General features: G+C 45.7%; 1 long non-coding RNA gene and 1 pseudogene across 2 annotated transcripts in view, besides 1 other annotated feature; one reads left to right on the forward strand and one right to left on the reverse strand.

Annotated features, from left to right (window-relative positions):
* LIPE-AS1 (LIPE antisense RNA 1) overlaps window positions 1–13,624 on the forward strand; it is a 255,208-nt gene that overhangs the window by 161,345 nt on the left and 80,239 nt on the right. The gene's annotated exons all lie outside the window — the stretch shown is intronic.
* Window positions 1,487–1,987: an enhancer, noted in NCBI's record as "H3K4me1 hESC enhancer chr19:43064131-43064631 (GRCh37/hg19 assembly coordinates)". NCBI's record gives its function as "activates a minimal SCP1, AML or CMV promoter by ChIP-STARR-seq in primed H9 embryonic stem cells {active_cell/tissue: H9 hESC(primed)}" and the evidence as "EXISTENCE:reporter gene assay evidence [ECO:0000049][PMID:30033119]".
* Window positions 1,945–2,303, reverse strand: CEACAMP2 (CEA cell adhesion molecule pseudogene 2; annotated as a pseudogene).

Consider the following 13,624-nt stretch of genomic DNA (forward strand, 5'->3'; position numbering starts at 1 on the left):
GCTTTGATATACAAATGAAGGCCATTAGAAACTGGGTCCACCCAAACATGGGGATTCCTGCCCTCTTCTTGCCCTTGCTCCCATATGTGCCTGGCAACACGGTTGCCCTCACATATCCCCACGTGTGTAGAACCATCAAGGCTCCCTGCATTTGCATATTAAAAGGCCAGGGTGGAGGGCCAGTTTCTTCTTGGGCTACGTGAATGACATGGCTGGTCAAACCAATCCCCTGAGCCCTGTGCAAATCAGACACCACGTCCTCCGGCCTCCTCATATAACTGGCTGTTTTCTGCTGCACTTAGGGTTTCCTCTCTTTGCTTGGAACCCCCCTCCGTCTGTCCCTGTATGGGGGAGCTTTTTCCTTCTTTTTTGCCTATTAAACTCTTTGCTCCACATGTGTCTGTGTTGTTTTATCTAAATTGGCACAAGACCGAGGATCCTGGTATTGCTCCAGTCATCAGAGCCATATCAGTGTGACCCTAGTCAGTGACTGTCTCCCTGTGCCTCATTTTCCTTTCAATAAATAAGATAAATGCTATTTGGCTACAAGGTTGTTTATGAATTAACCTCAAAATGTTTACAATTACTTGATCTCAGCTCTGCACAGAGCAGCTGCCCAGATGAACAGCATGTATGTATTTGAAATGCTTGTTCCCCAGTGCTGTAAAGAAATAGCACTTGAACATAAATTTAATTTTCTCAGCAAGGCCATTTTTATATTTTCTGTAGAAAGGGTATACTCGCCAGCAATTTTGTGACAAGAGTACACCGAACAAAGGAGACAGGGTCATTTATAATCTGACGTGTCTACCTTACTGCTGTGTCCGGTTTCCACTGGCTGGAACAGGATGTCACATTTTGTATTTGTCCCGATTGGCTAGCAACTTAGAACTTTTTAAAAGAGGCAAAGGCAGAGGAGAACAAAGGAAGGAGGAAGTAACTTGTGGAATGCTGAGAAAGGTAAAAACCATCTTCAAATAAAGAAGAGGAGCAGGCTATGACCTAATGCTTGCTTGGACCAGTATAAGCATGCCAGGGCAAATATTTAGGCTAAATTGTGGGAGCTAAGAACATAAAATACATTTTTTTTTTTTTTTTTTTATTACAGCTAGCAGATATTTAAGAATGTTAGCACACGTCTTTGAGTAAATTTTGCTTCTAAGAGAGGTTGCTATTTATTCCTAATTAGACAGGGAGGAAAGTCTTTGAAGAGGAACCTCTACTTTACTTTTTACATATGCTTATTTGCCTGTAAGAGAAAGGGCCCTGGGCCTGATTTCAGGTGGAGAAGGAGCTGCTGGGAGCATCCTCTATTTGTTCCTCCCCCTAGGGACCCTGAACTTACAAGGGAGTCACCTAAGTCCCCCAGGGCAATGGGCTCATGCCCTAGTAATCTTGTCCATCTGTGCTCTACATGCTGAGTCTCAGGTGAATGTTGAGGCTCTGTCTTTGCCCAGATGAGGGCCTGGGGGCTGAGCCCTGGCTAGTGACCAGCTCCAGGAGCCACTGCCCTTGGACAGCTGGTAAATTGTGGCTCCCGGTCAGCCCAGGAGGCAACAATCCAGCTCTGGCATAGGCTCCTCAGGGCTCCACAGGATTCCACAGACCCCTCAGTCCAGACCCTGACTTAGTTCTCCAGGGTCTTCTCAAGGTCATGTCCATAGGGAGGGCATGGGGTGCTTGGCTGAGACTGACCTCCCCCTGCTGAGTCCCCCCCATCAGACTGTCTTTCCTCAGCAGTGAATGCCTGCAGGGTCTGGATACGGGAAAGGAATTCTGATCTGTTGAAGTTTGTCTACCCTGTATGTGTCCTGCAGTAAATGTTCAAACCCCAACATGGGACGTAATACAGAAGGGGACACAGGCACAGCCCAGGCCTGACAATCCCATGTATGTGAAGTAGAACTGACCCCCAACAGTCAGAGGCTGTGGGAGAATCACTCAGTATACATGGAACTGGCCAGATACTTCTTCTTTCTCAGGGTTTATCTTTATGGCGTGTAGGGTGTAGAATCCTGTGTCCTGGGTGACATTCTGAATCAGCAGGGATGCATTGGGGTATATTGTCCCTTGAATGCTGTGGGCAGGCCCTGGGGGTAGTTATTAGAGTTCCTATTACATATCCTGTAATATGGTGGTTGGCCTCCACCCTTTCCCCTTTGTACCAGTTATAGCCAATAAGATCATGGGGCAGATTGTGAGTGAGTAGAAGAACCTCCTTCCCCTTTGTGGCATTGGACAGCATGGCTTCAACAGTGAGCATGGCAGTAGTGGGTGGGTTCCAGAAAGTTAAAACTGAGGCTAAGGTGGGGGAGAGAACATCAGTCAATATTGGGACCTATGTATTTGGATGGAAAGATGGGGCCCTGAGTTCTGAGGAGGTCTCTTCACCCCCTAGCCCTGGAGAGAGAGAGAGAGAGAGAGCACGTGCACGTGCACGTGCATGCATGGGTCCTGCTGAGTCAAAGTCAGCAGCATGACCCCCATTCCCTCAGCACCTCTGACCTTGGCACTTCCAAGTTTGGAATCCTCTTCCCCAGGAGTCTGCACAAACCCCCACCCCTTATCGCCCTCAGATCCTGCTCACATCAGGACATCCTTGGGAGACCCTTCCCCTGACACCTCCTCTAGAGACCCTTGCTCTTCTCTTCTCTTTCTGACCTTTCCCAGCTCTGTTCCCTCCAGGGCTCTTGTCAGCACCTGACCTCACATTCTAGATCTCTTTGGGTGTCTGTCTTCCTCCCATGAGAGCGTGAGCTCCGTGAGGGTGGGGACTTTTGTGATCTTGGTTGCACCCCAGTGTCTGGGACAGGCTGCAGACTCCTGTGGATGAGTTCATGAGTGTTCCCAGGGCCCTCCATGGCCTGAGGTTTGTGGGTAAGGACAGTGTTTAGTGGCCCTGGTTCTGTTTTTTTCTGGAGTGTTACCCTGACATAACATTTTATTGTCATCAGTTTTCAGAATTTATTGATCAGTGATGATTCACTTGCAGTATATTAACAGTGGAGATTGTTTCTCCATTAACAGCTTCAGATCATTGAGATTTTCCTGGTGTGACCCCTGTCCCTCTCTGGTGTCCTCTCCTCTGAGGCTCCAACAGAAGCCCTCTGTCCCCCCTCAGAGTCCCATCCTCCCCAGGAGATCCCAGTCAGTCTCTGTGCTCCCTCCTCCCACCCACTCCCAAGGAGTCCTCCCCTCACCTGTGAGAAGGAACCCCTGCCAGGGGATGCGCCCTCTGCAGGGAGGGCTGAGGGAAGAGCTTGAGCTCCAGGAACGCTCTTGTCAGGGCTGCTGTGACTGTCAGCTCTGCTGTCCTTCCTCCCTGTGTGCTGAGCCTCCTCCCAGGGCAGGAGCACTTCCCAGGGTCATGGGTGGGGGTGGGCTCTGCCCAGGAAGCCTCTCTGCCCCCTCCCCTCTCAGTCCTGCCTTCTTGTCCATTCTTCTTTTTTCCGTTCTGTCTTCATTTACATTCCCCAGACTATGCTTTGAGAAGCAAGGTTTATTTGGACCCCTGTCCCTTAACAGGACAAATCACCCTCCCCAGCACTGATCTCTGCTGTGTCTTGGCCTTGGGTCTGTCAACACCACACAGAGAGTCCCTGGGGTCCCCGAACCTGGTTTGTTGTCTCTATGACAAAGAAATCCCTCGGTGTATTCAGGGTCTTCTTAGTGTTCTTAAATGTCTGGGAAGGTTGGATTTCCTCCCAGCAAGGAGGTCACAAAGATGTCTGGGGTCCTAGGAATGGACACATCTGGGGCTAAAGCCCAGGTCTAAGAGTCTTACTTGTTCTTTCTGCAGCGCTATGTGGCCCTAATTTCCTGGGAGTAACTGAGAATGAAGCTGCACGTTGCTGTAGTATTATGTCATCCAGACCTCAGACATTTCTAGATCACCTTTATGATTTTCTCTACAGCTTGTTCCACATTTATTATTTACTTCATACTATTTTTCTTTTTTTGAGATGGGATTTTGCTCTTGTTGCCCAGGCTGGAGTGCAATGGTGCGATCTGAGCTCAATGCGCAACCTCTGCCTCCCAGGTTCAAGCGATTCTCCTGCCTCAGCCTCCCGAGTAGCTGGGATTACAGGCATGCGACACCATACCCAGCTAATTTTTTGTATTTTTAGTAGAGACGGGGTTTCACTATGTTGGCCAGGCTGGTCTTGAACTCCTGACTTCAAGTGATCTGCCCACCTTGGCCTCCCAGAGTGCTGGGATTACAGACATGAGCCACCGTGGCCAGCCCATACTATTTTTTTCTAAATAAATTTAGTTTACAAAACATCTTTGTTTATCAGGGCACAGTGGCTCACACCTGTGATCCCAGCTACTCGAGTGGCTGAGGTGGAAGGATTGCTTGAGGCCAGGAGTTGGAGACAAAACATCCTTGTCTTATGCAGTATTGTCCATGAAATTACAGATTTGATGTGTGCTTAAATGTTTTTCTAACATGCATTAAAATAAACACATGAGTATTAAAATTAAAAAACAGCTTATTTAACTTTCACCTAAAATCAGTTTTGGGAAACGCTGATACAGTGGCATAAGCATGCACTTTATATCCAGATAGACCTGGGGTCAATTACTGGCTCCATCACTTAACTATGTCAACTTGGACACGTCACTTGGCTTCTGTGATCCTTGATTCCCTGATTTGTAAAAGGAGGATGGTAAAATCCACCTTGCAGAGTTGTTGGGAATAAGTGAGCTGCTGTGGGAGCCCCGTGCCCAGGCAGTTGTTGAGTACATGATGGTTATCATTGTGGTTATTGCTGTGGGATTCTGGTTATTTTCCAGAGAGAGTGTCTATGCTGGAATATTGGGCTTGTGGCTTTCTGGTAATGTACATGTGTGATAAGTTACTTTTTCGCTTGTTAGGACTTGTGGTGCATCTGTCATTATTTTCATGTCACAGTTTTACTATCTATTTGCTCTGCGATTTTGGTCAAGTTGTGTAACTTTTCTGTGCCTCATTTACCTAATTTCTAAAATGTGGGTAACAGTAAACTAGTGTGAGTGTGTATTTCCCAGATCTGACCACTAGAGAGCACAGAAGCACCAGCACCTTCTAACCGTGGGCCTATCAGTGCCGATGGCCTGCAAACATCGTTCTCCCATGAAAGGAACCAGGGCTCCCTGGAGAAATAGCTGATTCCAGGGCTGGGTCAGGAAAGCATAGAGGAACCTGGAGCTCCTTGTGGGGCCAGAAAATAAGGAACTGCACGAAAAATGGTGGGGATGTGTCAAAAGGTCACAGATTTCCAAGGAACTCTCAATGGTCAATTTTGGGACAATATGAACAACATAATAAATAATGATAGTAATGGATTCCAGTTCATAAATACCCATGAATCCATGCTGATATAAATAAATAATTGAATAAATTAAATAAATGAGGAAGCAGAAATAGCTTTTTCTTGTAGCAGAATTCCAGTTAATAAATGTAGAAGGAGTGGTGGAAATGGAAAATCACTATTTGGCTCACAACACAGGAATTGTTATTTATAGGCAAGGATCATCATGGAATATGAAGAGGCCTGGAATGAGGCAGGAGTGAGAACAGGTGGCGTGATTTTGTTTCCCTGAGAGGAGGGAAGAGGCAAGCCATGAGTCAAAGCCCTTTGATTTTTGTTTGACAGTTCTTCTCTCTGTGTTTTCAAATTATCCCAGCCTGTTGCCTTGTCACAGAGTTGGTTGTGGGCTTTGCTACTGCAGGGGTTATAAAGCACGTGCAGGGGCCAGGGACTGTGCTAGGCAGTGGAGCCTGTGTGTGAATTGAAGGGTCAGGCAGGGCCTAAGCGTGGTCTGATGCAAACCACTGATGTGACTTCTTTCTTGAAAATTCTAAAAATAATCTCTGCCTTCAGGAGCCTCAAGTCTAATGAGGGAGATGACATCCACTTTATAAAGCCTAGAGATATGAGTGCAGTAATCTCTCAAAGTGGCAGAAGTGCATGGGGGACTCCGAGTTGGGTGGAACTTGAGCTGGCCTCACAGGGCAGGGTAGGATTTGGGTTGGTGGAGGGCAGAGAGAACGGCTGTGTGGAGCAGGGGTGTGTTGTAGGAGAGGCACTCTTTGGAGCTCTTTGTATGGAGATCATTGAGGGTAGGGGCTGTTTGTGTTCATTTTTGTATTCCCTGAACTCATAGAGCCTGGCACTTTGGGAGTATTCTATAATTGACTGTTGAATGGAATGATCGTTTCGTAACCTGTTAACTGGGCCTGATGTGTTAGAAAATATGTAAAAGTGCAGCCTGTGTATTAGAAAATGTGTGAAAGTACAGCCTATGAGCAGAAAGAAAATCTTACTGAAAAGCGATCCCACGTACACATGGAGCCTGGTGCGGCCGCTTTACTTATGCTGCTGAGTTCTGCATCAGTCCACACCGAGGCCACCACAGGGGCCGGGAGCTCCTCCTCAGACCTTCCTCTGGGTCCCTCAATCTCTTTACCCCCCTGTTCTCCCAGGTCCTGCTCCCTGTCAGTTCACTCCATCTGGTTTCCCCTCCATGCACTTGGGGTGGGTATCACATCCTGTGTCTCATCACAGGGGGCTTTGGGTCCCTCAGATCCATTGATTAAAACACCTCTAAAACAAATGGACTTTCCTCTTGTTAACATGACAACTTCTTATAATGCATTTCAAGAACATTATTTGTGTCAAGAGTCTCTCTGATGTACAGAGGCCCTCCCTCCCCCAGGAAGGAGGTCAGGGGAAGTTAGGAGAAAACAGTGTCCTGTCTGGGTTGCTTATTTCCCTATTCTGCAGTGTATTTGGTAGACGTTCAAAAATATTTGTTGACTCTGTCCATGATCCACATGGCTCTCATATAGTCATTTATTCACACACACATTCAGTGAGGCTTTGAGCGCCTAGTGTGTGCCTGGTATTTGCTAGATGGTGGATGCTGAGAAGATCAGATGTGCTGCTGTCTCTGAGGAGCTTTCACTATATAGCTGCACCTAGGGTGACCGAATGCACCTGCCCCACTTTACAGACATGGAAATTAAAGTGCAGGCAAGTCATAGGACTAGTTCAATGTCACAAGGTCACTAGCCTCAAAGTTATAGGAGTAAATCAAGTTTTCTGACTTGCTGGATTTTCTGTTAGTGTGCAGCCACCTGGCTGCTGCAGGTGCAGACATGGTGAGCTCCGATAGGAGCGAGGACGCTCAGAGTGAAGTGGGAGCCCTGAGCACCCTGGATTAACCAGGAGGACATGCCGGGTCCAGCTATGACTGCACAGAGGACCATCGGGAACATTTGAATTCTCTTTTTCACTTTGAGCTTGAAATGAAGAAAACTGATCCCAGAAAACCAAGCGTGGAAGGTATTTCACAGGGCATTGGTGAGATGGGTCAGAAAATCCTGTGTTGATGTCTGTCATCATGTTTGTCACTGAATAGTAATGGTCTGACTTTGAGTGGGTTCCATCTGTAGCCTGGAGCTCTGTGAGGCAGGGACCAGGTGTGATTCACCTTTGTCTCTCCAGTGACAGTACACAGCAGACTCCGATAAGTATTTTTTTTTTTTTTTTTTTTGAGACAGAGTCTCACTCTGATGCCCAGGCTGGAGTGTAGTGGTATGATCTCGGCTCACTGCAAGCTCTGCCTCCAGGGTTCACGCCATTCTCCTGCCTCAGCCTCCCGAGTAGCTGGGATTACAGGCGCCTGCCACCATGCCTGGCTAATGTTTTTTTTTTAATGTTTTTAGTAGAGAAGGGGTTTCACCGTGTTAGCCAGGATGGTCTCGATCTCCTGACCTCGTGATCCGCCCGCCTCGGCCTCCCAAATTGCTGGGATTACAGGCGTGAGCCACCACGCCCCGCCCTCCGATAAATATTTCTTACAAAATAAAACAGAATAAAAAGTAGACATCTGCACAGGTGTGGGATGACTGAGCAGCAGCAGAAGCAGGAAAAGTCAGCGTCCCCAGATCAGCTGATGTGGCATTTGGCTTCTAGATAGGGGTGAGGTGCCAGGACAGGGACGGGGGTCCTGGGGCTCTGCTGCTCTGGGGAACACCCCTAGGATTTGGAGTGTCTGCTGTGGTTGCTGCACTTCACTTGACCATGGGAAAGTGACCAGAGGGTGTGGGGCTTCAGGTGACCCTATATGGGAAATGGCCGAGGGAAGATTGGGTGGGTGGTGCATGGGATGGTTTACCCGTATTTGAAGGTCAGTTGTATGAAAAGATGTTAAACTTATTTCAGCCTATGGAGAGTAAGATGAGGATTGGTGAGTGTGAATCAGACACCTTTTGACTCAAGACAAAAAAGAACTGTTACAGTAAAGGAAGTTTCCTTGGAAAATTACAAGTTTACTGGCAGAATTCAAGCCAGGGCTGGGTGTCTGAAAATACCTCTCAGAATGATTTTTAAGCTAACAAGGGCAGAGCTTGGCTAGGAATGTGGTTTTCCACTGATATCACATATTAAAAAAATGTCCTTTGCAATGGGACATTGCTCAATGATGCAGGCTGAGCTCTCTATGACAGTTACTTTCAGTCATGTGGGCAGCTGTGATTCTCTTATCCAGTCCGTGACTTGGACTTCACCAACTACCTCTGGCAGGCTGCCCCTGCCAGCCCTATCCCCTCTTTTACCCCAGGAGTTAAGTGCATTAACTAATGATGGCCACAAGGTGGCAGTGCTGCTGCTGCTGCTTTTTTTTTTCTTTTTTCTTTTTCTGAGACGGAGTCTCACTCTGTTGCCCAGGCTGGAGTGCAGTAGTGCGATCTCGGCTCACTGCAACCTCTGCCTCCCGGGTTCAAGCGATTCTCCTGCCTCAGTCTCCCGAGTAGCCACGTAGCTGGGATTACAGGTGCGTGCCACCACACCCAGCTAATTTTTTATATTTTTAGTAAAGACAGGGTTTCACCGTGTTAGCCAGGATGATCTTGATCTTCTGACTTTGCGATCCGCCCGCCTCGGCCTCTCAAAGTGCTAGGATTACAGATGTGAGCCACCGCACCCGGCCCTCTCTGGTGTTTTCTAAAACCTCTACCTGAATGTGGGCAAGCCTAAGAGGCTTTTAGGATTAAGAAAAGGTCATGAATGAGGTGAAAGGTAAACTTCATTATTATTTTTCTCTTGTGAGGTGACATAGTTGAGTGTGAAATAGTTGCATTTTAGAACTGGAAGACACTGGAGAGAAGTGCTTCACAAATCTTAATGTGTTCATGGATCACCTGAAGATCTTGATTAAATACAGATTCGGATTCTTTTGGTGGGGCCTGAGATTCTCAATTTCTAAGGCGCTTTTGGATGATGTCATTGCTGCTGGTTGGTGGACCACACTTTGAGTAGCAAGGCTTGAGGGTCATTTAGAGATTAATTCTCATTCCATGTGATTTATGGCTGAAGAGAGACCAAACTACAGAGAGAGAATATAACTTGCCTTCCATAACTATGCCCTCACTGCATGACTTTTTGCATTTAAACCCAGGGCTTCAGCTTCTCCGTCCAATTCTCGTTTCATGCATCACGTGGCCCCTACACTGTTGTTGGTGGCATCTCTTTACCTTAGGAACCCAGAACTCCATTTCCACCACCCACTGATCTTGGCTCAAGGTTTCACTTTGACTGGGTCTGCCCTTCCTCAAAACCTTGAGGGGCTCTTCTATAATCACAAGATCAAGTTTGAACCTCGGTGTCTACTGTTCATGCCTCTACAACATGTGATTCCCCCTTTAGCAAGCTTACATAACTTCCCTGTTTTTTTAACTGACTCTTTCTGCTCTAGCTCTCCCTGCTCCTTCCTGTTCCCTACACATACTTCGTTCAGGTCCCTCAATGGTAGTGGTGGTTACATGGTCTCTGGTGTTAGACTCACCGAGTTTCTAATCCCATACCCACCACCGACCTTGGCAAGTTACTTCCCCTTTCTGAGGATGAGCATCCTCCTCTGAAATAATTTCATGTATTGATTGAGAGAGTAAATAAAATAACATCTGCAAGCCCACTGTCATTCCTCGGACCCTCTTTAAAACTAGCATCTACACAGGGTGGGGAACATCACACACCGGGGCCTGTCGTGGGGTGGAGGGAAGGGGGAGGGATAGCACTAGGAGAGATACCTAATGTAAATGACGAGTAAATGGGGTGCAGCACACCAACATGGCACATGTATACATATGTAACAAACCTGCACATTGTGCACATGGACCCTGGAACTTAAAGTATAATTAAAAAAAAAAAAACCAAAACCAAAAAAAACTAGCATCTACAGTGGTGCCTGACACCTGGTTCCCTGGCTTATGTTTCTCCATGTCTCTGCTTTCCTAAGGCTGAACCATTCAAGGCCTAACCTGAACCCTGTCTCTTTTGTGAGCATTTGTTTCTTTCTTTCTTTTTTCTTTTTTGTTTTGTTTTGAGACGGAGTCTCACTCTGTCCCCCAGGCTGGAGTGCAGTGGCGCAGTCTCAGCCCACTGTAACCTCCGCCTCCTGGGTTCAAGCTATTCTCCTGCCTCAGCCTCCTGAGTAGCTGGGATTACAGGTGCATGCCACCATGCACAGCTAATTTTTTTTTTTTGTATTTTAGTAGAGATGGGGTTTCACCATGTTGGTCAGGATGGTCTCGAACTCCTGACCTCAAGTGATCTGCCCGCCTCAGCCTCCCAAAGTGTTAGGACTACAGGCATGAACCACCACACCCGGCCTTATGAGCATTTCTGACCCAATTGATCCCACCCTTCTATAAATTGTTTCACCCATGTATTGGCATTTAATTATGTCCCAGTGAGACCCCATAGGGAGGCTGGAAGGGTGTTGGCTGTGTGAAAACTGAAGGTGAATTGAGTGAGCTCCTTTCTTACTACCCCCTGAGTGTTAGAGCTACCATCTCTTTTTTTTTTCAGCTATTGCCAGCAGCAGTTCCTCCTGCGCCAGCTGCACCAGACCCTGGGCAGGCAAGTGAATACCTTAGGGTTTGTTCCTGTCAGGGTCACTCCTGCCTCTGGGTTTTGGTGAAACTGGCGTTTTCTTTTGCATCTTATCAGGTGGCCCCTCTGAGGAGGTTATTGATGATATCCCTTTATGGAAAGCCTAAGGTAATAACTCTAAGGAAGTTGAGCACAGTATTTTCTAACTTAAACAGCTTGGTGGCAGGAGATGTGTACACTTTCCTATTTCATAAAATTTACAACAGATTCAGAAGAGATTAAGGACAAAGGACCAAATGGGGAGGACAGGTTTGTTTAAGGGAGGTCATGTACTTTCAATCTGGAGTCTATCAATTGTTCATTCAACTCTGTGTGGAAGTGTGCATCTTTGCATGTGTGGTCGTATATTTGGATCACATGATTCATAATTCTGTCCCTGTCAGTGGCAATTAGGAGTTCATGTTAGGCTTATGAGGATAAAATATATGGGTGTGCACTATTACTGAAGCCAGGGTTTCTGATATCTGGAGAGAAAATAGGCCAGGAGGGCTGGTCACTTTACTTAGTGCCCTGCCTTTCTCTCTCTCTCTCTCTCTTTCTCTTTTGAGACAGAGTCTCACTCTGACACCCAGGCTGGAGTGTAGTGGACTATAGCTCACTTCAACCTCCACCTCCTGGGCTCAAGTGATCCTCCCATATCAGCCTCCTTGTTAGCTGGGACCACAAGCACATGCCATCATGCCCAGCTAATTTTTTGTTTTGTTTATTTGTTTGTCTGTTTTTGTAGAGATGGGTTTTCACCATATTGCTCAGGTTGGTCTCGAACTTCTGGGCTCCAGTGATCTAGCCATTTTGGCCTCTTCCAAATGCTGGGATTACAAGTGTGAGCCACCATTCCCGGCCCTGCCTTCTCTTTTTATTAGACAGCAGTCTACTCACTCATCATGTTCCCAGTGAGGGGATTTTTAACCTTCTCATTTTCCTACCAGGGGTCCATGCCAAAGTCCATATGTGTTTAATTGTGTCTAGAATTGGATGTTCTTTTTGAAAAGAGCAGCCCAAGGAATGGCTTCTTAGCTGATATCCAGGATTCTAATCTTCATTGTCTAAACTTTGGGTTTCCATTCCTGGATACTGGTTAGAGTAACTTGTAGGGCATTTAAAATGTACCAATGTCTGTGCTTTCCCCAAGTATGTCTGACTGGATTGGTGCATTGTGTGCCCAGGCATTGGTTGTTTAAGAATGCTTCCAAGGAAAACGGTCATTTTATTGTGGAGGAATTTTAGCCCAGGGCTCAAAGTTAACATCCCATTAATTAGAGATATCGACATCTTAGGGCATCCTAATATAATGGATGGAGAAGGCACAAAATCGCCTCTTTGGTTTTCTTGACCGAAGTGTATAACCTCAGTTTAATCATGAGAAAAAATTAGAAAAATTTAAACTGAGGGTAACTACAAAATAACAACGCCAATACTTTTCAAAAATGTTAAGGTCATGAAGGCAAAAGAAATTCTGAGGAACTGTCCCAGATTAAAGGAGACTGAGAGGACAAAACAATGAGATGCAATGTGTAATTGTACATTGGACCCTGTTCCAGAAAAAGGACATTAGAGGGAAGATAAAGAGGATTTGAATAAAGTCTGCAGATTCATTCACTGTATGATGTCAGCGATAATTTATTGATTTTAATGTTTGCACTGTGGTTATCTAAAACAATGTTTGGGGAAGTTGAGTGAAAAGTATATGGGGACTGTATTTTTGGAACATTTTTGAAAGTCTGAAATTATTTCAAAATGAAAAGTTTGAAAAAAAAAAGGAGAAGAAATCTAGATATTTCTATTAAGTTGCCAGACTTGAAGACCATTTCCCAAGTTATCTTGCCTAATATTGTAGAGTAATCTTCCTGGAAATGCTGTTTGTCACGTTTGTGAGCTTCTCAGAGCTTTCCAGTGACTTCTCTTATCTGTAGGATGAAGTTCCCATTCCTTAGGATGCCACTCAGAGCCCTCATAGCCCGGCCCCAATCTACTCCCTTGATTTACATTGAAGGACCTGACCCACATTTTACTTTCTCATTTCCAAACATTTTCTAAGTCTTTTCCCTCTTCATATCACACCCTTGCCTGTCTTCTCAGCCTCCTGAGTTGTTCTTTGTCCTAAAGGCCCATTTCAGACCCTGTCTCTTCATTGAAGCCTGTATATTTATTTCTGTTAGAAGCAGTCATCTTTCCTTTCTTTGAATTCTTGCAGGTACAATGGTGTGGAGTGAAACATGAGTTTTATTTCATTATATTATATTTTAGAAAAAAATCAATTTATTCTGCTCATTAAAAGTTTTTCTTTTAAAAAAATCTTAAAATTTTCATTGGAGAAGGATTAGAGATTAAATTGTTGATGTTTGAATTTCGTTGTGGTTTAAAAAAACTTTTATTTTAGGTTCAGGGTACATGTGCAACTTTGTTATGTAGGTGAACCTGTGTCACAGGGGTTTGATGTACAAATTATTTCATCACCCAGCTACTAGGCCTAATACTCAGTAGTTATGTTTCCTGCTCCTCTTCTTCCTCCCACTCTCCACCCTCTTGTAGGCCCCAATGTCTGTTGTTCCCCTTTTTATGTCCATGTGTTCTCATCATTTAGCTCCCACTTATTTTTTAATTTTAATTTAATTTAATTTTTTTTTTTTTTGAGACGGAGTCTCTCTCTGTCACCCAGGCTGGAGTGCAGTGGTGCGATC

The sequence above is a fragment of the Homo sapiens genome, chromosome 19 (assembly GCF_000001405.40).
Source record: "Homo sapiens chromosome 19, GRCh38.p14 Primary Assembly".
NCBI classification, from domain to species: domain Eukaryota; kingdom Metazoa; phylum Chordata; class Mammalia; order Primates; family Hominidae; genus Homo; species Homo sapiens.